Source organism: Homo sapiens, chromosome 13 (assembly GCF_000001405.40).
Source record: "Homo sapiens chromosome 13, GRCh38.p14 Primary Assembly".
NCBI classification, from domain to species: Eukaryota; Metazoa; Chordata; class Mammalia; order Primates; family Hominidae; genus Homo; species Homo sapiens.
The window spans coordinates 27,622,509-27,647,210 of NC_000013.11; the positions used below are offsets into that span (position 1 = coordinate 27,622,509).

Here is a 24,702-nt window from a genome sequence, read left to right on the forward strand (position 1 = left end):
AATCGGGATTTCTATGCCTTTCAACCCTCTCTTCATCCTCTAGCAGGACCAGTCCTATTCTAATCCTATCCCTTGCTTGTGACTCTACCAAAAAATATTTTTGCAAACACTTAAGTTTGTGTTTTTCTAAGAAAACTCCCCTTGTGGCCAGTGTGGATGGTCAAATGGAGCAGGGAAAAACTGGAGGCAATAAATTAAATATTTATTGATAGAGTTTGTGGAGGCAGGAAAATGAGAGGCGAATAATTCTGTGTAGCTGGAGTAGATTAATAATAATGTGTTGCAATGTGATATAGTAAATGAGAAAAAGCTAGTTACAAAACAATATTCAGTATGATCTCATTTTTATAAAAAATATGTGTGTAGAAAAATATCTGGATTGAAGACCTCAATGGCTGAAGGCGAGAGGAAGACAGCCCTGGAAATGGTCCAGGCAGCTGGAACAGATAGACACTGTGTGACATTTGTATTGCACGAGGAAGACCATACCCTAGGAAATTCTCTACGTTACATGATCATGAAGAACCCGGAAGTGGAATTTTGTGGTTACACTACGACCCATCCTTCAGAGAGCAAAATTAATTTACGCATTCAGACTCGAGGTACCCTTCCAGCTGTTGAGCCATTTCAGAGAGGCCTGAATGAGCTCATGAATGTCTGCCAACATGTGCTTGACAAGTTTGAGGCCAGCATAAAGGACTATAAGGATCAAAAAGCAAGCAGAAATGAATCCACATTCTAGTCCTTTATGCAGTATACAAGGAGAACTGTCCTGTAGGATATTCTCTTCCTGATGGTGCAGAACCCAGAATTAGAAGTTTGTGGTTACAGCATACTCTGTCCTTCAGAAAGGCGTGATTCTAGCTGTTGACCCCTTGCAGCTGTTGGAATCTCTGCAAGAACCTCTGTATTCTTCTAATAAATTCCCTCTTTTATTTAAACTAGTTTGACTGGTTTCTGTTCCATGCAACCAAATGGTCCTTGAGGATGACTTTTTTTCTAATTAAGCCAGCATTGAAAATGAGGAAACTGAGAATATCAGAGGCCTAGACAAGAACTGTGATCATGGGAATTAAAAGAAGTATATATCCATGTCTGTAGTTGGAGTGGTGGGGGTAAGGGAAGAGACAAAAACCATGACCCCAGTTAGATTGTTGTTTAAAAACAGAAGGAAAGAAGATTGGGGTGGGGACTTGGCTTCTTGCTAAACTTTTTGGCTTTTAAAGAATTGCATCATTTGCTGTGATTGGTAGACTTGGCAAGGGTGGGAATAATTTGGAAGAAGTGTGAGAATTCTGGTTTTACATGAGAGTTTTAGGGAGTAAGGCTCCATCTTTGAGGCATTTACAGGAAAGATACCAGTTTACTGCTTGAATTTTGGGATATACTTAGTCATGATCTAAGTAAGGTAAGATGTTTTGATTATATTACAGAAGGAGAAAATTGGGATGACTAGAAAACATTTTCAGTCCTTAAGTAGGTATAGCCTAGGGTAATGTAGAAGAAGCCCTATTTGAGAGAAGGTAAAGCCAAGGAGAAGGAAAATTCCATATAGGGGAAATGACTGTTTTGGAAAACACATATCCCACCCGCCAGTGCTCTGTGCTTTGGGCCCTTGTTTATCTATCCCCTCTTCCTGGGCCAGTCTTACTCCTGCCGTACTCTTAAGTCAAAGCTTATGTGTCAGGCCTCTCAGCCTAGTTTGGGTACTTCTTTGTGCTTTCATTACACCCTGTGTTTCCTGGCCTTGGCATTTACTATGCTATTGGTAGTGCTTATCTTGTTTACCCACTAAACCAACTTGGAGGTCAACATGATTCTGGTACCTGGAACACCTGACAGGTAGTGGACACTTAGTAAATACTCTATGAATTCATGTAAGTAGTTATGGCATGCAGCTTTTCAGTCACTCAAACCTGACCTCTTACACTAGCGTGCCATAGAGCCTACATTTCCTACACTCAGCCAAATTCTTTAAAGAGATATCCATATTTTTGAGCACTAGTATGTTCCAGGCCTTGGGGATAGATATATAGCTATAGTGGATGAGACAGAGTAAGTCCTGTTCTCATAAAGCATGTGTTATAAGAGCCCCTTAAAAAAAAATTGTGAGGCTCGGCATGGTGGCTCACACCTGGGAAGCCAAGGTGGGAGGATCACTTGAGCCCAGGAGTTTGAGACAAGCCTGGGCAACATGGGGAGTCCCTGTCTCTACAAAAAAATAAAAAAGGTAGCCAGGCATGGTGACACATGCCTGTAGTCCCAGCTGCTTGGGAAGCTGAGGCGAGAGGATATCTTGAACCTAGGAGGTTGAGGCTGCAATGAGCCATGATCACACCATTGCACTCCAGCCTGGGTGACAGAGGGAGACCTTGTCTCAAAAAAATATATAAAATTAAAAACTTGTAATTCTGTAAAAGCAGCAAATGTAGGGTCAAGATAGAAAACATAAGAAAGGAATCTACTTTAGGCACGGAAGTTAGGAAAGGTGTTCTAGAGATTACAGGAAGGGAGAGAGCTGGCTGTGCAAAGAGGAGAGAAAATGCATTCTGGGGGTATAGCATGTGCAAAGGTCCTAAAGCAGAAAACTGGTGGCATGAGGAACTGAAGATATTGAACAAAGATTTGCATGTTTTTGTAGCACAGTAGACAAGGAGAAGGGCCTGTCCTCTGGAGTCCATGGGAGGAAGAGTTGGGGTAGTAGGGATTTTGGATTTTAGGTTCAGTGGGAATGACGTCTTCTTTACTTTGATTACAGAGTGGGGGGAGATGAATTATAGGGAGGCTGGAGTAGAAGCAGAGAGAGACACTATAAAGAGTTGAAGTGGCCTGGAAGGGTAGAAGCTAGTGATGGAGAAGAGAAGGTAGGTTTGAGGTATATTTTAGAATTGAATTGGCACAGAATTGGTACACTTCAGGAACTGTGGAAGATGAAGAATCAAAGATGACTACTGCCTAGCTTTGGGGCCAATTACTGAAATTGGGAAGCTTAAAATGGAAAATAGATTGGGAGGTGGAAAAGATGATAGGAGTCAAAAGTTTCATTTGTGAACATTGTAAGCAGTGGCTATGTGAGTTGGAGATCGTGGAAGAGATCTAAGCTGGAGACAAATTTTATGAGTCCTTGCCATAAAGATGACATAAATTGATTAAAAAAAAAAAAATAGAGGGTGACAAAGAAGTGGGCCCAGAACAAAGCCCTAGGCAACTTCAGTATTTAAAGTTTGGGTCAAAGAAGAGTTAAAGATAAGAGTATTTGTAAGTTTGGGTCAATGTAATGGTAGGAAAGTGCAAAAATAGGGTGTGGAAGCCAAGGGTTTCAAATAGGGAATAGAAAAATGTCACCTGGAGTTAACGTGGAGGTCACTAGGCAGTAACAGCATTAGTTTACTGCCTAAGAAGAGTAAACATTACCACTCATTATACAGAGGAATGGCTTAGTTTGGTTTTCCAATAAAAGAATCACATGAAGACATTGGAAGAGGTGAGTTTAGGCGGGAGCAGGGATGTCATAGGGCAAGGATACAGCATATTCTCTTATGGTGACAGTAAGAAATTCTGGAAAGTCAATGTTTGTTTAAGGGCATTAGCCTTTGAAGATAAAAGGAAGCTCAAAAAGGATGTGGAAAAGGATTAAAAACTTTTTTCCTCTCCCAAAACTTTGCCTGTGGGGATAGTAAACAGAATTACTTACCTGGAGTTTAATTCCTCTAAACCAAGGCCTGTCAGGAGATGAAAACAAAGTTTAATTAGTGGACATCAAGGTACAGACTGATGATAGTAGATGAAGTACAGTGGGAAACACAGCCAGAGGCGACCGCTCACCACATCACAACTTCATTGCACCTAAAAGAATTTAGACTGATCACGTAGAATGCAGTCTTGAATGTCTTTAGGGTGACCATAAACTCACGGGTTCATACAAAACACCTGCAGAAGGCAGTTGGGTGGAGGGAAGAAACTGAGAAGGGGGCAGGCAGGTTAACCAAGAGTCTTGTATATGTGAAAGGAATCTGCATAAAGTCTGTAGGGACCTGAGGGAAAGCTGAGTTGGTCCAAAAAGGACTAGGGAGATGAATGTGAATCTTATACATCCTGTGAAAAGTTAATCCGCATCTGATTTGCACTCCAATAGCATTTCATTCTAAATAAACTCATGCCAGTGATTCAAGATCAGAAATTCTCTTCAGCTGTAAAGTACTGTGACTTTTAAAAAGCTGATTATTAAATATATACCAAAGGCTTTTAACATGTAGTAATTCTGAGTACTTGCTGGTACTTTCTATTTTCAAAGTACTTTACAAGCTAATTATTTACAAATTGCATATAGCTGTAACATCTAAGTACTCTAATTAGTTGGCATAATGCACAGGTTCACACAGAATCTCGAGAGATGGAAAGGTGTCTACAAAGTGGTCTCTTCAGTACTGACCCAAAGAGTGTCTTGCATCTCAAGAGATAGGAAAGCATATCAAGTTCCGTGGCCTACCACTCCCCACTCTTCTTTTAGTTTCCCTTAAACACGTTATTCAGATTTTAGATGGTCTCCAGATCACTAGACAAAAGTCTTCTTTTTGGTTAGCGTAATTTAGAGTCATTCTTTGTAACAACCTTTAAACTGGTCTCTTAGGAAGTTTACCCAAATCTACCCATCTGCTTTCAAGTACTTATTAAGACCCCCAAACCCAGCCTTTTCTTGCTCAAATTCTTAATGTTGCTATTTTCTTTTCCTGCTTTATAAACTATCCTGGTACAGTTACTGCGTGGGTCTGGTTTTTTTTTTTTTCTCATGATGAAATTCTTCTCAAACTTGGATTATTAGATCTCTAATTATTTAACTATACAGTAAGTATGTACCTAATAGTAGCACAGTCCTGAGAAATGGTGGAAATAAGAGACTATGAGTCTGTCCTGAAAACCCTTCTGTGGTTTTGGAGAAGGCAGACAAGAGCTGTACACATGAAAAAGAAAACCAATTGTATTGACAATGAAGTGCCCGAATGTGCAGTGTGGAGTATTATGTGATGAATTCAGAATGGGATGGGTGAAAGGCACTGCTGAAACATCTATTCTTTCATGAGCACTCATTCTGTTGGCCAGTGAAGATGGCAAATAAGAATTGGCGGCTTATGATTAATAACAGGAATAAATGGTTTCCTTTTTTCCAGTGTAAGAGAGCTGTTAAAGATTCTTGAGCTAGAACTGCCGTAAAGTTTTAGTTTTTTTTTTTTTTTTTTTTTTTGTCCCATGCCTGTGTGCAGAATGGGTGAGTGGAAGGAAACTGGAAGACAGCAGTGAACTGGGGACATTTGTAATAGTCCAGGTATAATGTAAGGAGGGCATACTTGTAAGAGAGGAGATAAAAGGATGGATACAAAAAAAAAATGCTTAAACAAAAAAAGTAACTTGGAGACAGATTCTATAGAGGGGTAATAGAAGAGTTGTAGATGACCCCAAAGGCCCCATATCCAGGTTCATTTACCCCTTTGTTTATCCTACCATTCCCTCACAACCAAAAACCAGTAAGGCAGGATTTATCATTTCTTTTCTCCAGCCTGTCCTTACTAACGGGAGTTAGTGGGTGCAACCACCCTTACCTCCTTCCCCAACCCATATCAGAAGAATTCATGTATTTTACAAGGATATGAATCCAGGGCTACAGATGTGAAAATTGAGAGTTAAGAAGAGGCGATCAGGGCAGTGAACAGCCTGGCTCTTACGGTCTGCACTCACCAAGCTGCTTGCTTTACAGGGAATGTTTTCATTAATTGGCTCTGTAAATATTGAGCACATACTATACGGAGGCACAGTTTAGGGGCCAGGATACGGCAGTGAACAAGTTGGCCCACATGCAGTTTATTTTCTGATGGCAGAGTTAGACAATAAAGAAACATGCAAACATTTAATTTCAGGTAGTAAACTAATGATGACAAGGAGAAAACACTGAATAGTTAAGGAAGGCCTTTCTGAGGAGGTAACATTTGAGCAGAGAAATACAAGAAGAGAGAGACCAAGGATAAAAGAGAATGAGCCCAGAATTTTTTTAAAAACCTGAGCTTAGATTATTCAGCAATGAAAGAAAAATTATGAACCTTTCTAGAGGAATAAATTGTATATTTCAGCCTTGTGTTTGTGACTTTTATTAGTGCCTAAATTTATATCATCTGTTTTTAATCTGTATATGTATTTACCTAACAATTATAGTAAAGAATATTGGACTACTCTGTGGGAAGGAGGATATGTAGGATATTGGAGTTGTTTTCGATTGGCTGATACATGTATGTATATTGGAGGGGCTTATTTTAATTGAACTTTTTTATTCTTCTTTTGAGACAGTCGCACTGTTACCAAGGCTGGAATGCAGTGGTGCAATCTCAACTCGCTGCAGCCTTGACCTCCCAGGCTCAAGCAGTCCTCCTACCTCAGCCTCCTGAGCAGCTGAGACTACAGGCATGTGCCACCATGCCTGGCTAATTGTTTGTTTTTGTTTTTTTGTGTGTGGAGACAGTCTCACTATGTTGCCCAGGCTGGTCTTGAACTCCTGGACTCAAGTGATCCTCCCATCTCAGCCTCCCAAAGTGCTAGGATTATAGGCGTGAGCCACTGTGCCCAGCCAAAATAGACCTTCCTTAGGAACAGAAATTGATATGTGTGGAATCTTGGGTATCTTTTCAGTAAGCATAGGCATAGCAAACTTAGGCAGTATAACATTGGAATTTAGAGCTGTTGGACTCACAATGCCTGGGTTTTGATCCTGGCTCTAGACGTTAGCCATGTGACCTTGGACATACTGTTTGATCTCTTTGTGCCTGAGTTTCTTCTTCTGCAAATTGGGATAACAATAATACCATATAGGGATGTTACAAGTGTTAATTTAGATAATATTCAAAGTGCTTAGGACAGTACCTGAACCATAAAGCATACTCTCAATCAATGTTAGCTATTAATGTTATTATTGTAATATCATTGATGTTGAGCAAGCTGGGTTGGTTTATATTCCTTCATGTGAAAACTTTGAAACAAAAAATCTTAGTAGCCTGTGTATTTTTTTGTTTTCTTCAGTCTGTAATATGATTTGAGGACCCCTGTATGGAAGGTTATCAGTCTGTTAAACCCATAGCTTTTAAGAAAAATACTTTAAAATAGCATTCTTATTAATAGGATATAGAGAAAAGTCGCAGACAAATTGTGTTTCTCCTCTTTTTAAAAAGAAATTAAGATTCTGATGGAACATTCGTAATCATCCTTAAGCTTTAAGATAAAGGTTAAGCAGAAGGAAAAGCAAGTTCTGTAGCAGATGGGTACCTGGCTTGGTGCCAGGTATCTGGACTATTGGTAGGTAGCCAGGGCTCAATCTAGGTCAGTTGATTGTAAAAACTGCATTAAAAAGACTTTATTTATTTATTTATTTATTTATTTTTGAGATGGAGTCTCACTCTGTTGCCCAGGCTGGAGTGCAGTGGCGCGATCTTGGCTCACTGCAACCTCCGCCTCCTGGGTTCAAGAGATTCTTCTGCCTCAGCCTCCTGTGTAGCTGGGACTACAGGCACCCGCCACCAGGCCCGGCTAATTTTTGTATTTTTTAGTAGAGACGGGGTTTCACCATATTGGACAGGCTGGTCTTGAACTCCTGACCTCGTGATCCGCCCGCCTCCGGCTCCCAAAGTGCTGGAATAGCCAGCCTGATTTTTTTTATCTAGTACTGTTTCTCAGTATATTCCCTGTTCATTATGCAAGGCACTTAGCATATCTCAAAAACAAAAGCTACCTTGGTGCTTTTCTAAGTTTTACCTTCCTGACTGGAGTCAAACCTCAAAAAAATTATGAATAATGCCCCCACCAATTTTATTAAAAGGACTCCAAGAGAAAATCCAACAGCCTGGAGCATCTAATTACACAGAGATTGAACTAGTTGGCTTAAACAACAGCTTGGGGTTACAATTTTTGTTTTTTGTTTTTTTCATGGGTGGGAGAGACTTTCTCTTTCTCTGCTGACCTCTTTCAAGGCAGTGTTGTGTAGAGGCGAAGGGTAGGGACTCTGAAGTCAGAGGGCCTGTTGGCTCCACACTTCCTATCTTATGAATGTGGGCAAGTGATGTAACCTTTCTGAGCCTCAGTTTCATACCTATAAAATTAGGCTGATAGTAACACCTACTTCATAGGGCTATTGTGAGAAATAAATGAAATAAAACACTTAGCACAATTTCTAGTACACTTAAATACTCAAACATTAGCTATTGCTATTGATATATATGGTTGTTGTTCAAGTCAATTAGTGGGAGTTAAACTTATGGTCTTCATAGTACAGGTTGTGTCATGTTATCCATAGGAGCCCTCCTGGCTGGCTTGCATGAGCTGCCCGCCTCCCCCACCCTGCTGTCTACCCAAAGCATCACCTGTGACTCTGCCACGCTGGCCTTCTCACTTTTATGCATATAAGCCTAACATTGCCATTTCAGGGCCTTGGCACTTGCCCTTTACTTCCCGAACCTCTCTTCCCCTAAATCTTCACATGGCCTGTCCATTTCCAAAGTCGTTTGCTCAGAGAGACCATCCTTGACTGGGTATTAGTCCATTGCTGCGTAATAGATTATCCCAAAACTTAGTGGCTGAAAGCAACAAATACATCTCAGTTTCTGTGGGTCAAGAATCTGGGTGGAGCTTAGCTGGGTGATTTTGACTCAGGGTCTCTGACAAGGCTGTAGTCAAGATGTCATCCAGGCTGCACTCTTGAGGATTGCATGGGAGACGATTTGCCCACAAGCTCACTCATATGGGGCTGCTACATGCCATGGCAGCTGGCTTCCTGCCAGAGCCAGGAAAACAGAGTTAGAGAGAACCCAAGACAGAAGCCAGTCTTTTTATGCCCTACTCTCAGAAGTGGCATTCCATTGCCTCTGCTCTATTCTGTTGGTTAGACATGAGTCAGTAAGTCCAGCCCACACTTGAGAGCGAGTACATGAGGGTCTGAATACCAGGAGGTGGGGATCCTTGGCACCATCTTAGCGGCTGCTTACCCATCCGCCTTCTCTAAAGTGGCATGCACACCCACATACAAACCTCCATCACTCTCTATTCCTTTACCTTGCTATATTCCTTCATAGTACTCATTGTCAACTGACATTATATTATATATTTATCTATTTATTGTCTAACTCCACTTGAAAAATATCTCCTTGGCGGCAAGGGCTTTGTCCTTGTTCGCTTCTGAACCCCAAGCACTTAAAACTGGGTCAGGCACACAGTAGGCTTTCATTAATGTTTCTTCAGAAAGTCAATGAATAATGTGCATGATTACATACCAGTGTCAGAGTATGAGTACCACAACAGGAAGAAGGACTGATGATTTATAATGACATTATTTTGTACACTTATCAGCTGACATTTGCAACTCAGAAAGCCACCACAGTAACAAGCTTCAAGAAGACAAAAAATTATTGAGTGGGACAAGGAACCATGCCTATCCTGTGGCTTCAGTGGGAGGAGGAGCTGAGGGGAGGCAGGAGTAAGCATCATAGAGAGCCTTGATAAAGGTGGTTATGCTTTATATTCTGTTTCATTTTTGTCTTCTCTGTGTCCTCAAGAGCCTCTAACACTACTATCTTCACCACCTTGATCCCATGCCTCATCTGTTGTCTTGTCTATTGGTTTAAAAAGGTAGAATATCTCCCACTTGAAGTTGATTGATGGATATTTTTACTTTGCAAGAGCAGTATGGGAGAGTGATATGAATTTTCCTTGGGATCTTATCCCCACAGAACTCTAGGAGGGAAAAAGTGGTAGGATTGTAGTTTTGAGTACCATGAAGTGGAATTGAAAGGATTTGATTCCAAGGTATGCTGTTTTTTCAATGCCGAATAGTACACTCATTTCCTAACCAGCTGTCTCGTAAATCTATGCCATTTACTACAAATAGCATTGCTTTGGAAAAATAACAGAATGCATGCATTTGTTTTTCCAGCAGCTATTTAAGGTCCATTTGTTTTCCAGGTACCAAGAAAGCAAAGACGAATCTCATTTCATGCCTACCTTCACAGAGTTTGCAATCCGACTAGACCAAAGAGCTGTGTAGTAAAGAACTGAAGGATAGGTGTCATTTCTTGTAACTCTTTTACCTCATTAAAATTGCAGCACCCCCCGCCCCCCAGCACTCCTACCTTGTATTTTTTCTATAGCACTTATCTTCTAACATATGAGATATATAATTTACCTTTTTATTATATTCATTATATATTGCCTTTCCCTCTACCCCTCAAACACACACACTGTAACATAAGCTCTGTGAGAGCAGAGATTTTTGTTTTAATGTTCACTGATGTATCCACAACCCCTGGAACAATGCCTGGCTCATAGCAGGTGTTCAAAAAATGTTTATCAAATGAATGAATAGCAGATTGACTCTGTATTGTTTTTACATTAAATACCCCAAGAGCTGAACTTGAATTTAAAAAGGGAAATAACTATTCTATAAGCTTCGAATTGAGAACCACAAATTTGTGGTTGTGTGTCTTCAACTCCATAGTTTGTCACATGTAGTTGGCAAGAGACTGGGCCTGTCCAGGAGGAGTCAGACCTAGAGGTTCATTTAGGCAAAGGGTGACCAGAGCAGGCAAAGATAGAGTGCCAGAGGAGTAGCCTATGCAGTAGGAACCAAGCAGATCTGATAGATATTGCCAGGTAGATGATTCCAGAGGGGTCACCTGAGCTAAGAAGAATTGGGCATGTTGTTTATACACACATAAGAAGGCAGGGCTTTGTATCTGCAAGGCCAAATTTGACTGCAACGCATCTCACATTAATGAGAACTGACCCCCGCCAAGGCCGACAATGTTGGTTTTGTGAGCACCTGTTCTACCCATATACCTACTGTGTGATTTTGGATTTGGGGAATTCCCAGACCGATAATATTTCAAAAAAATCTAATGGGGTGAAAGGATGTAGGATTGCTTAAGTTTTATTTTGCCCTTACTTTGTGAAATGGACTTTCCTTCACTTCCATGGAAAATTGCCAGAAATCCTAGTCTTTATTTAGGTGACCTGAAGCACTTGAAGGACAAAACAAAGACTTAAAGCATTCAATAATTTGATGTCTGTTGTGCCATTTTTATCATGTTTGCTCCACAATAAATTGAACAGACTCTTGCACTTTTCCCTTGGGTCCTCATGAGCATTTGTCTACAACTGTTAATAAGTTACATGGGATCTAAGAATAAATTTTCATTGGAATTCAGATTTCAAGTGAAGGATCACCCAACATTGCGATCCCTCATCTAACATTATTTCAGATCCTGAGTTGCTGCTTTGTTCTGCATACTTAAACATAAGTCCCGGAGCTTGGAATACTTAACAAGGGGTTTGTGTTGCTGTTGTTGTTTCCAAAAGTGATTAAAATTGGTAATATAAAATTAATATAAGCTTCATTTATCTCTTCATTCCCTGAAGATGAGGAGTAAGAGAGTACCATCATCATATTCTTGTCAAAGTAAATGAGTTGGATTTATATTCTTTATCAGACCTTGTAATTGAAGCCTTCTAGACTTGATTCTACAGTTTTATTTCTGCTTTTTGTTTATTGGTTTGTTTACATGGCAAAGACTGCAGTTTGTCCTTAAATGGATGGAAAATATTAGGGATTCCAGGGGCTTATGATTAGAAACTTATGATTAGTTTGTTTATATGGCAAAGATTGTACTTTGTCCTTAAATGGTTGGAAAACATAAAGGATTCTAGGGGTTTATGATTAGGAACTGTTGTGCTGAAAATGTCTGTCTTTAGAAGTGTTAGCTTACAGGTGTGTCACTGTCTGCTGCCCAGACTTGTAGCAAGCAAGCAGAGGATTCCCTTCCTATTTCCTTGTTCTAATAAGTTGGTCCCCATCGGAGAGCAATGAAAGATCAGAACAAGCCAGAACATGAGGAAGCCAACTAGACTTACTCCTGGCCAAAAGCAGACAGCCTAACAGACACGTAACTGTGACTGTAAAGTAAGAAGACTGATTTGCCTCACCAGGTAGGAAAACAAGTTTAATCCTCCTTCAAGGTAGATAGTGTCTTTTCCCCTTTATAGAAAAGGCAACTGAGACCTGGGGAAGTTAGGTAACCAGCCTAAGGTTATATGACTAGTAATTAGATAGGAACTGAAAGATGGCCTGACTCCATAGACTCTGCTTTTTTTTTTTTTTTTTTGGCACATGGTCTCACTCTGTCACCCAGGCTGGAGTGCAGTGGGGTGATCTTGACTCACTGCAGCCTTGACCTCCTGGGCTCAAGCAGTCCTCCCACCTCAGCCTCCCAAGTAGCTGGGACCATAGGTTCAAGCCACCAAGCCTGGCTAATTTTTGTATTTTTTGTAGAGATGGGGTTTTGCATGTTGCCCAGCCTGGTCTCGAACTCCTGAGCTCAACCTATCCACCTGCCTTGGCCTCTCAAAGTGCTGGGATTAGTCATGAGCCACTATGCCTGGCCAAACTTAGCTTTTAATGGGCGTGATGTTGTCGATGTTACCTGCCTTGGACTCATAAAGATAACAGCTTTGCCAGAGCATATCCTCCAAGGAGTTCAGTTTAAGAGACAAAATTGTTGGCCTAGCTGAAACATGCTGGCAATAGGGGCTGTTCTTTGTAAATCTTAAACATGAAAAGAATCAAATGAATGAGAGAGTAACTTGTTAAGAACCCAAATAAAGGTTTACTGACAATACTTGGTTTCTGAAAACACCATTTTTCATATTATTAAACGTTATTAGTATTATCTTTAAATATGTTCATTTTAACTTTTTCATCTATATTGTGCTAAAGCAGTACTTGATCATCCTCAAAATATAGAAACTTTTATTCACGGATTGAATGAAATAAGGGTATGTGTTATTTGACAGGACTCTGGATATGAAGTCAGAAAGCTCTGGGGTAGAGTCAGCTGTTCCCCTTACTGGTTGACCTCAGACAAGGCAGCCTCCCTAAGCCTTGGTTGCCTAAACAATAAAAGGGAAACAGGAACTTCAAGGGTTCATCTCAGACTTGGTGAGGTAATATATATTATTCAGTAAATTGCTGTGCACATGATATTTTAGTTAACATACATAACTATCAATAGTCTATCTATGATTACTATTAAAATTATAACTATAAAATGATTATTTTTTTAAAAATTCTTAATAGATTTGTTCAGTGCTCTATAGTTACAAAGTAACTATATATATATATATATATATATATATATACATACACACATATATATATATAAATTGTATTTAATCCCCCTAAGAATTCTGAAAGGATAGTAGAAATATCTTCATTTTAATCGCATAGCTTTGTGACCTTGAATATCACAGGATCACAGAGCTAGTAGGTGCGGAACTGGGACTCATTTTCTCACCACTATATTGTGGCTGCTTTCTTATTCTCTTAAGGTTACTTGATGGTGTCCTAGATTTAAAACTGTAAAGGAAGAACTGCATAATTTGTCTTCTAAAAGCACTGAGAGGTGTTTTAGGGACTATATAAAGATAGAACAGTTACTGAGTAAGTCTATTCAGTCTGGATTTTTCGGGTAAGAAATTCTGCTCTGAAGCTTGTGTATTGCAGATCACAATAATCATAGACACATCACATAGCATTGGGATAGTGTTAGTGTTGGTACTTAAAGTGTTGTCCTCTAAAGGTAATGATCCTGGGCTAAAATATTATAATTATAATCTGTCTCCTCATCGTTTCTCCCTAGGGTGACCATACATGCCATCTAGGCTTAAATATTGGTAATTTTGAGTTAAATTTTCAAAAACCAGATATTATTTAGTGTTAGGCAAGTTGTTAACTTCTCTAAACCATAATTTCCTCGGTTTTATATGACAAAGTTAAACCAGATGGCCTCTAACTCTAACATTTGAGAAACTTTTCCCTTACATTTTTTAATAATATAGATTGTATTTAATGGATCTTTACCCAAACATTTTGGTTCAGGTAATTAAAATGAAAGTTATAGTGAAAAGATCCTTGAAACTTTTCTAAAAACACTGGGCGTTCAGGAATTAATATAGTGTATGTCCCGATTTCTATCAAGCAAACGCTAAGAGAGAATTGTAAATTTAGGGGTCTAATATTTCAAATGAGATGTGAAAGTATGGTCCCAAGCATTTGTACTGAAAATGCAGCGCCCCTTTCTTGGTAAGCGTAAGAGTGTATTAGACTTTGGGAGGAAGCCAAATTATGCTGTTTGGATAATCAGCATGATCTATCTCTCAGAATTTTCCCCTGCGGTCTCAATTGGGTACCTATTCTATTTTTAACTTAGTTCTAAACTCTTTGTTAGCATTGCTCCATCCAATTAAGCTGCAGCTGCTGTTCCATCCCTAAGGATTGTTTATGTTTCAGTGGATGAGATGGTCCTAATATGTACGGCTACTTAAAGTATAGTTTTAATTCAGGGACAAGAAAAGATTGTGTTTAAGTTTGTGATATTTTTTAAAACAATGCATAGTTAAACATTGGCTCTAGAACATGCTTTCACATTTCCCTTCTTAGTTATATCATCACATATAATTTATAAGTCTCTGAATGATAAAGTGTGGTTTGCTGGGTTTTGGTTGTCTTGCAGCTGGTTTCTGATGCCAGAATCATCGATTGTATTACTCTCTGTGGTTTCTTTCTTTTGGCAGCTGATGTGTTGTTGGTATGATATGTGTTATGATATAAAGGTAAAGGTTGGATTAATCGTAATAGAATTTTCCATGCCTTGGGTTTTTCTCCATACTATAGAGATTAGTCTCCATGAGCTGCTTCCTTCCTTCCTTTCAGTTAATCTCTGCAGCCTTTCTAGTGGTTCCTCCTGTGCTGTTGAATTCAGCATCTGTAAGAATGTGTTTGCATTGTACCAGAGCTCTACAACTTTGGCCAGCTAAGAAGGAAGCATCTCTGGGAGCTTTGAATGTCAATATAAAACCTTATTTGCACAGTTGTGCACTTTTGGCTGACTTGTTCAGTGGACCATCTAAGTTCATCACTTTGAACTTTTATAAACATTTTCCTTAAAGGGATGCTGCTCTCAAAGTTAGGTTTATGTGTATGTTTAAGCGCTTAACTCTATTAACTACTCCTTTATATAAATATGGAATTTTCCCAAAACACTTGTATATATATTAACTAAGTTTTTAAAATTGTAAAATGGGATTTAAAATTACCTTGTCCTACTTAATTTCATTGCCGTATAAATTGGCACCAGAAAAACAACTTGAAACTTGACGGTGTAGGGTTTAAAGAGTTAAGAATTTACTGATGGGTTTTAATACATTAAAAAAAATTTTTTTTTTTTAGAGATAGGGTCTTGCTGTGTTGCCCAGGCTGGCCTCAAACTTTTGAGATCAAGCCATCCTCCCCCATCAGCCTCCTGAGTAGCTGGGACTACAAGCATGTGCCACCACACTGGCATAAATTTTTTTTTTGTATAGTATATTTTTGTAGTTAATTATTGATGTAGAAAATATTGTCTACGTATATATGTACTATTTTTTCAAAATCTCTCCCTGCCAGTGTGTAGAGGAAACTACCATATGCCTCAAAGCCATGTTTGATGCCTAGAGTGTGAAAGACAGAAAATGCCTGGTGATCAAGATGAGGCCTGGTCTGGCAGTCCCCACAGCAGGAGGGAAGCACAGTTGCTCTAGAGTGGGCTACACCCTCTATTTCACTGGCCCTTCATCATCTCTTGCCTCTAAGGCAGGACTGTGCCTTGCACTTAACGGTCACAGGACTGTCACTGAACCTGTGATGTTGTCTGTGGAGTGCAGGCTTTCTCTTCTTCCCATCTCATTGTGTATTGCTAGATTTCTAAGAATTAGAAGTATACACATGTTTTCTTCCTGGGGTTAAAAATGGCTTTATTCAGATGATGACAGGTAAATTATTTATCTTGAAATAGCATTTTCAAGAGACTAATTTCTATGTGTATTTTTAAATGAAAACACTTTTTAAAGAGCATGAAATGATGAGATGCCAAAATCCTACACATTCTAGAACTTTCTTTTATGTTCTTTTTTTCCCTATTCTTTGGCTTTTAGCTTTGAGTATAATTTATAATCATTTGCTGAATCAGAGACTGAAATCTACAAGGGGTGGACAGCTTGTTTTCTAGCAGATTACTGTAGCCTTGACACGCTGAAGAAAATAGCTTCAGCAGGCTGACCAGACTTTCTGCTGAATAGGCCATCCTCGGGGCTGAGATCCAAGAGCTCTGAGGTATTGTTTAGGACAGTCTACAGAGAACTGCAGATGATTTGTATAACATAAAGCTCTTTTAGGATTAAGAGAGTGATTTACAGACAAAGCTTTTGGTGAGGTGATTTTTCTGGTATGTGGTGTGTTTATCAAAAACAGTACACCTACCAAACTTCTCCCTCATTAAAAAAAAGCTGTAGAGGCAAACTTTAGAGGCTTATGTTGTAATGTTTTCTTTTGTACAAATTCTGCAATATTTTTTTCCTGTCTACATTTTGAACAGCTATTTGGTGAGAGTCTGAATTTTATTTTTTATTTCTGCTTTTTGGTCTTCTGCCATTTTTCCTATCCTTTACTAAATTCAAGCAGCTGCCATATTAGCTTTTCTTTGCTTGGGTATTGGCTCCCTTCCACACCCATCTTTCTAGACTTTAAATCCCTTTTTCTTTTGCAGTTTTGTTTTCATCAGTTTTGTTCTCCAAAGCATCTGTTCTCTTAAAGAGATAACAAAATACATTTTATTGAGTAAAAGAACTCAATAATTATTTGACCTTATATTCTCTGTGTGGATTTTTCCCCTAACTAATATTTCAGAAGAGCATAGACTGTAATATTTTTAAACCTAACATTTGACCTATCAACAGATCTGCTCTTCCTGTTATTGTATTGTCCATGGGCTTTTCTATTCAGAGTTTAACATTTCCTAAGTAACCCTATCATCACCACCCCACAAAGTTATTTTCAGTAAGAGGGGCCTTTCTTCATAGCTTATATAAAAATTTACCATAGCACATTTACTCAGGTTTTATAATATGAATTGAAAAACAATCACTGTATTTTCTGTATCAGGATTTAAGAATAAATATTTGTAAAAATACTTGCTGCTTTGAAAATGAGGTCAGTAGACCCTACAGTGAAGTAGGTGTCTTATGAACTGAGAAATAAGTTTTCCCTGGGAGCTAAACGTTAAGAATTAACCCACATTTTAACTGAAGAAGTGATCTCTCTGTAATAGTAATCCACTCTCAGAGGCCATCTATAAATGGATAGTTGCAGATTTGAGAATGTCGAAGTCCAGGTGAGGGGACTTGAGTTTTGTCTTTGCCAGAGCAGTTCTTGTCATGATAAGTACCATTAAATATTGCTGCTCTCCTTGCCCCTCTCACTAGACTGAGCTTCTTGAGGACTAGGATCATGTTTTGTAATAGAGCCGTAGTGTAAGGATTAAGATCCTGGGGCCTAGAGTCAGATTGCCTGGGTTCACATCCCAGGCCGTATCATTTATCGGCTGTTGTGGCCTTAGGTAAGTTTCTTGACTTTTCCTTATATTCTCCTTATTTCCTTATCTATGAAACGGTAGCTACATAGAGTTGTGAGGATTAGCTGTAAGGTACATGGTACATAAGTACTGTTACCATTATAATTTTTCATCATGTCCCAGTGGTGCATATTAAATGCATATTATAACTGTATTCAAAGGAGAATTGCCTGGACCCTGGATGAGGAGAGCAGCCCTATATATCACAAATATATAGATGCCTCTGTCAGTGGAGATCCAGTGCTCAGTGCAATTCATAACCCAGGAAACACCCTACTCATGTTTTGACCTGCACCCTTGAATGAAAGGAAACTGTTTAAATATGTGAAGATTGTACCAATGTTGACTTTCCAGTGGACACTAATTTAGAGTATGGAAAGGTTTTGAACTGCAGAAAAGTTAAAAAAGACATTAACTTGTCAAATCCTTCATCTTGGCATGAATGCAATAGATCCTTCACTAAGAAAATATTGTTTCCCACTAGTGCTAAGCTTCCATTTTCTTGCTTGTCATATTATTTCAGTTCATGACTCTGAAGATACTCATGATTTAATACCGTACTTGAAACAGCTGCACCTGGAAACTGAGTAACATTTTGCAATCTTAAATCATATTACTCTTATATTTGTATATGTGTAGGTCTATGTGGAACATACAAGAAATTTGACACTGATTCATAGATCATTTTATTATTTTACATTTTGTTTTTTAATACTTTTAGACTATTATGGTTTATAGAACATATAACCTTCCCTCAGTATCCCTGGGGGATTGCTTCCAGGACCCCCATGGATACCAAAACCTGATATAAAATGGCATAGTATTTGCATATAACCTACATGCCTCTTCCTGTATACTTTAAATCATGTCTAGATTGCCTGTAACCTAAGTAATCTATTATTACTAATATTACATTGTACTAGGTATAATCTAGTCTTACCTAGTACAATGTAAATTCTAAGTAAATAGCTCTTATTCCGTATTGGTTTTTATTTGTGTTATTTTCATTGTATTGTTATTTTTTTGCTTCTTTAAAAAAAATTTTCAATCCATGTTTGGTTGAATCCACAGATACAGAGGGCCGATTGTACACTCTTGTGCTTACAAAAAAAGGGGCACTGCATTTTCAATACAAATGCCTGGAACCATACTTTCACATCTCATGTGAAATATCAAATGCCTAAATTCACAATTCTCTCTTAGCGTTTGCTTGACAGCAATTGGGCCATATGCTAAACTTCCATATTAATTCCTACACATCTGGTGTTTCTAGATAAGCCCCAAGTCAAAGTATTTACAAGGCTCTTTTTCCTATAATTTGCAAGGAATGAAATCACTTTTAATTTATATGAAAATCTTGATTATAACAATATAATTAGGGACTTTATTAAAATCAGTGCAAGAAAATAAGTTTCATGGAATATATACGAAATATTTCTGTCTTTCCACATTAATCCAAATATTACCATTAATCCAAATATTAATATTAATCCAAATATTCAGCCATTTCAAAAAATGGCTGAAAATATTTTTTATTTTGTTATGATGAAAGCATATTTGTCAAGATAGGAAGAAGAAATATATTTAAATATTTTTAGCTTATTTTATAACTTTTACATGTTTGGAAATATTGTATGGGGACTTCATGTGCCCCTCAGTGGGCCTATAAGAAAGGAGCAGTTACATCTATTGATGTGGAGCAAACAGGGAGATCGGGAAAGGCTTGGTGGAGAGGTAATGTGAGAGCTGAGTGTCTGGTGTAAAGGTTGTGAGTGGAGAGTGATTTGGACAGAGGGCATAACCTGGGCAAAGCTCCCCCGTGCATGTAACAGCAAATGTAGTGTTGGCAGTTGGTGGGAGTGTCTAAGCCATGTTATGTCTCTGGACTGTCAGAGCCAAGGCCCTAGATGTGGTTATCCCACAGAGCATCTGTGTGGCAAGGCCTTGCAGAGACAGGCCAGTGGCCCCACTGTGACATCTCACCCTCTCTGTAGTGGCACCCTCCACTCCAACACTAGGCGCTGTCATCTCAAAACACAATTAGCATCTCCACTAAGAAATGGAGTTCAGAGGATGTTAACAGGTATATATATACAATGAAGCAAAAGAATAATATTGGAAGCTAAACAAAGGCCATTTATCTCTGATCAGTAGCTCACTGAAGGGAAAAGTGTTTTCCAGATCTGAAACCTTGCTGAGATTTTCAGACAGCCCTAGTAGATCAAAGTCCTCAATCCTGACAGGAAATATTCCAGCTCTGCCTCATTCTGTGTCCTTGGTCAGTGTCTGTGGTTTCCCAGTCTGCCCTAATGTTTGATGACACTAAGGATACGTGTTGCTGTTGTGCCCCTGTTTGTTTGGCCACTACAGGGGATTGCTCCCTCAGGAACCTGTAGCTCTTCATTTTTTTCATTACATTTATTTACCCAGTGACATACTATATTTTTTTCTTTTATCTTCTTCTCACCTCCTTTGTCTTTCCTCTTCTTCCATCTCACCCATCATCATCTATTCTGTCTACAGATGCAGTATTTTTATTTTTAAAACCTTGCATTTGTATCATGTCCCACACATACCCAGAACCCATTTATTCCCCAGATCTTAACTTAACCATGTATGTGCCAGGCATAGAGAAAACTAGGTTGAAAAAGACAAGTTCCGAGACCTTTAGGAGTGTAAAAAAATAGCTATCATATTTCTTCTGCTTCCTATAAAATACAGAACACTTGGATCCAAATCAAATATTTTATTTTATCCTCATAACAACCCTGTGAAGTAATTATTATCATCATTGCAAAAAGCAATCTGCAGTATCTTTGTCTTATTTTTCCACCACTGCTTAAAATACCACTTTCATCTATCTCTTTAGTTCATGTTGGGCATGAAATCAACAAAGGATCTCATTAATTTTCCTTTCAAACTCATGTTCCTCCATCACCTTCCAGTCTTTTACCAGCATAAGTTCTTCTTAAAAATTCAGCACCTTTTCTCATGACTTTCTGTTTGTTATTTTATAAATGAATATTGGAGCTCCCTCCTCACATTCTCCTAGATAATCCAGTATTTGTTTTTAAAGTACATATATGGCTCTTTATTTTATATGCAGGCCCTAATAGCCTCTTCAGGGAAGAGCCTAATTCACCGTATAAATCACAGTACCTTGTATTTAGCAAGTGCGTAATGTAGATTAGCTGAATTTAACAAAATGTGCAGATTAATTTATTGTGCCTTTAGTTTATGTCTGTGAATAAGTCTTTTCATTTCCCAAATAACCTCAGTGTTCCTATTGAGTTTTACCTTGTCTTTAAAAACGCTTTTCACAATTTGAATTTTTGTACCTTTCTTTAGAGCTGATACATGACCCCAGACAATCTGATATTTTACTGAAATTAAATAAGGATATTTCTGAATTTTTGCCTGTGTCTGTAGTCAAAACACTAAGTCATAAAGAACCCAAACTTTGTCCTGTGGTTTCTACAGATCCCTATGACTACTAAACCACTAGTTACTACTGGCAGTGTGAACCTATAAGCAGTGGTTTGCAGATGTTCAGAGTGATCTGATCATCTGTCTATATTTTTTTAATCAATGACCTGACATCAAAACTTTACTGAAGATCGAGTAGATAGTTCCATTTTTCTCTCTAAGCTTTATCATTCCATTATGGGAAGAAATTTAGATTGCCATAGTAAGGTTTCTTTTACACGTATGTGGACGACTCCACAAGTATAAACATGTTTGCCTTCAGCACTGATAATGTGTTGGGCCTTTTAGATAACTTCCCAGTCAACAGCAGCAAATGATGCTGTACTCATTTCTGCCAATTTTCTAAGAAGTCTGTATTCTTGTCACCAAGTCATGCTTGTTTGAACACATCAAGAAGAGAGTAGTCTTATTAAGCAATGTATTGCCTTTTTTGAACCTGTTTTTCTGTCCATCATGTGACAGATACTGTACTATACAGCTAGCTGATCAAAGGTGACTTTTAAAGACTGAGAGAGACACAAATGAGGAAAGCTTCTAACGTTCAGCCTTGTGTTCCTAGCTTTCCTTCACCATCACAGGAAGAGGCCTATAGTTCCCTCTGGCTGACTCCATCATTTTTGAGCAGTTATTTGAGATTTAGCTTCTCTGATTTTATTCCTTTAAAATTCCTGTTTTCCTACTTTATTATTTAATTTTCCTCTCAATTTCTGGTGCTTTATTTCAGTTGCCTTCAATTTCTTGCTACCCCTTCTGTACACTGGAACAGTTAACCCTCAGTTGATTAAAGTGATTAAAAAGAAACAGACCCAGATAACTCAAAACTAATTTGTTTGACTTTGGATTTTAAGATGATTTTGTACCAGATTTGCATTCCTACTTGGGTTTTATTTAAGCTGCTATTATGATCAGTTGACATTCCTTAAGCATGTACCAGCTGGCTAATGGAGTGAACAGGCAGGCCTGAGGAAGCTGTGCTAGTATGGAAAATTGGCTGGAGATAATACACACATGGATCATTGAAAATTGATTGTGGTTTGTTCCTGTGCCCAGAAAACCGTCTGCTTAATGACTCAGCTCTCTTGGGTCTCCATGGAACTTAGTATTCTAATATAATTAATTAGTTTTACAAAGAAACCTTCAAGATATTGAAAAGAACCAAGTGTAAAAACTAGCATACCAAGAACTAAGTTTATGTCTGAATAATTTTTTAATTGTTCAAGTTCTGTATATACTTAGTTCTTATATATTCTCCTATTTGCTTTTCCTGTATTTTAATTACAGTTTATACTTCTTTCATCACCTCATTAAAAACTATCTTGTTTCATGCATGTTAATGTTTCATAATCTTTGATAATTTAAGTTATTTTGCCCCTGTGATCATGTAGAATAGAAACTGGATTTATAATTTCCTTACCCAATAATTCATTAATGAGATTTCTAGAGGAAACAACAGAGGCTACAGTAATGGGGAAGTTGCTGACTTTCTCCCCTTAATTTTGAAGGTAGTTATAGTGTTTTAAGGTTGGGATACTTGATTGCTAAGAATTGTTTTCTTCTTTGGAAGTAAAGCTCTGTAGAGGGAGCTTATGCAGGAGACTTTTGGGTGGGAAGTAGCGAATGCTCAACATTCTTAGGACAAAATAGTGATCAGTCCTCCTTCATTCCTTCCGCCTCTCCAGTATCAGCCTATCCCCCAGTTCTCTTTGAATGAATGCAGTAGTGGCACTCTGTTAGGCCTTTTTTTTCCCCATTTAGTTTATTTTTTGCCTTTTAATGATAAACAATTTCTCCAGGATTTGCTGCGCAGATATTTGTGGAGGAGATAGTCTAATAGAAGGATCAGATGATACCTAGCCTTAAAAACAGAGGTTGGGTTTTGTTTGCTTTGTTCCTCTTCCTCATTGCCCTTCTCCTTGATCGTTAGCAGTGTTACTTTGGGCAAGTTAGTCGATGTCTCTGAATATCACTTTCCACATCTGTATTGGTGGTAATAACTATGTTATCATGGTTATATAGAATAGTACTTGGTATACTTAAAGCTCTATATCTTCATTAGTTGTTGTTAAACCAATTGCAGATACCTAACTTGGGTAGATCCGAACCATGGGAATGGGTCACGCTGCACCACTTTGGCTGTGAACAGCAGCTAAGCCCCCTTTACCAGTGGGAACACGGTAGACAAGCTGACTGAGTGCCCTCCCACCCAGTATCTACTCCTCCTTTTATGGTCCTCCATCCTTGGTGAATTTGTTTCACCGCAGGCAGTCTTTCTCATACATATATCTTCTTTTCTCTTTGTACTCGTAAACCAGAAGGCATCCTTAAGCGTGCCAGGTAAAATTAATAACAGTGCTAGAGACAGTTTTAAGTAGAATCGAAACTAAAGAAGAGTCACTGTCAAACTTCAAGCTCTTGAAAGCACCTAGAATATGCCTTCAGGGTCTCTGCAAGAATCTTTACTGAGTATCTTCTGCAGATGTATAGCATTTCAGCTGGATTCTGACTCAAATAAGTTTCTATAGTCTGGTCCAGAAAGCTAGGCAAACATTTTAACATAGTTTTTATGGGAAAACACATTCTAGTTTATTTGTAACTGATACATATTTTGTTCATAATTGGGGAACTGCCCCAAAAAGTTGTTTTCCTGATTATTTTTAACCATTTCTTTTGACAGAAGGAGAGCACATAGGTGGATCTAGGTATGATTTATCTTTTTATTTTAAAACTACCACACTAATTTATGGGAAAGGAAGAGGCATATTTGGAATATTTATACCCTTTAATTTTTTTACTTAAATCTATAAGGGTGAAAAACAATCTGTTTTGGACCTTATTAGGATAAATTTTGCTTGAACTGTAAGAGACAAAGTCCCCAGATCATTTCAGCAGGCCATATCATTATTCTAAAGAGCTGGAAGAAGCAGCATATGTGGTCATCAGATGAACTTACCTCTTTGTGATTCCATAAGAGGTTGGGCTGCGAAACTTGTGATTGAGGGAGTCAACATGTCAGTAGATAGGCAAGCGCTTTAGTTTTTCATTGATCTGTAGCAGTGGGCCTTCCCAAGAAGGATCAGAAAATGTCAAGCTGCTGAGTTAACTGAAAAGACATCTTTTAAAGATCTCAATAAGAGTTTATTTTAAAATGAGTTACACAAAAATAAGCAGATGTATTTTTGAAGATTAAGAGGTGGTGAAATAGTTTGAAAGCATAGTATTAGGAATATGGAGGTAAATAACGAGAAACAGATGAAAAAAGTTGAAATTGTTTTCTTTGGTGGGTAGGGCAGGATAATTTAGAAGACTGTTGTATTTAAAATCTTTTAAATAATATTTGTCTTTTTAAACTATGTGCATGCTTTACTTTGATAAAAATCAACATGAAATAAAACATTCTTGTAAACAGAATGTTAATATCATTTGAAGATTATATAGTATATGGTAGCATTATAATAGTGTCATAACATTTTAATATAGACTCTATATAATTATCCAGCTTCAAAAATTCATGATTAGATTTATAGTTCTGTCTTTGGACTATATTTGTTTTGGACTATATTTGTTTATACCTCTCTTTTTCTTAACTTTATTTTTTCTTAACTTTGTTATTGATACATCATATTCAAGTCAGGGACGATCATCTTCCTATGTTGCTACCCATAGCACCTTGCACAGTATCTTACACATAGTA

At 38.2% G+C, this 24,702-nt stretch overlaps 1 protein-coding gene across 5 annotated transcripts in view; it reads left to right on the plus strand.

Annotated features, from left to right (window-relative positions):
* POLR1D (RNA polymerase I and III subunit D) overlaps window positions 1–24,702 on the plus strand; it is a 46,669-nt gene that overhangs the window by 1,766 nt on the left and 20,201 nt on the right. For 2 of the 5 annotated variants that reach the window (NM_001374407.1, NM_015972.4), the window contains one exon: window positions 367–941. The exons of the other annotated variants lie outside the window; for them this stretch is intronic. In NM_001374407.1, coding sequence (NP_001361336.1) covers window positions 367–742 — 376 coding nt within the window. In that variant the 3' untranslated portion in view covers window positions 743–941. Of the gene's footprint in view, window positions 1–366; window positions 942–24,702 lie in introns of those variants that run through there. 5 annotated transcript variants of the gene reach the window in all.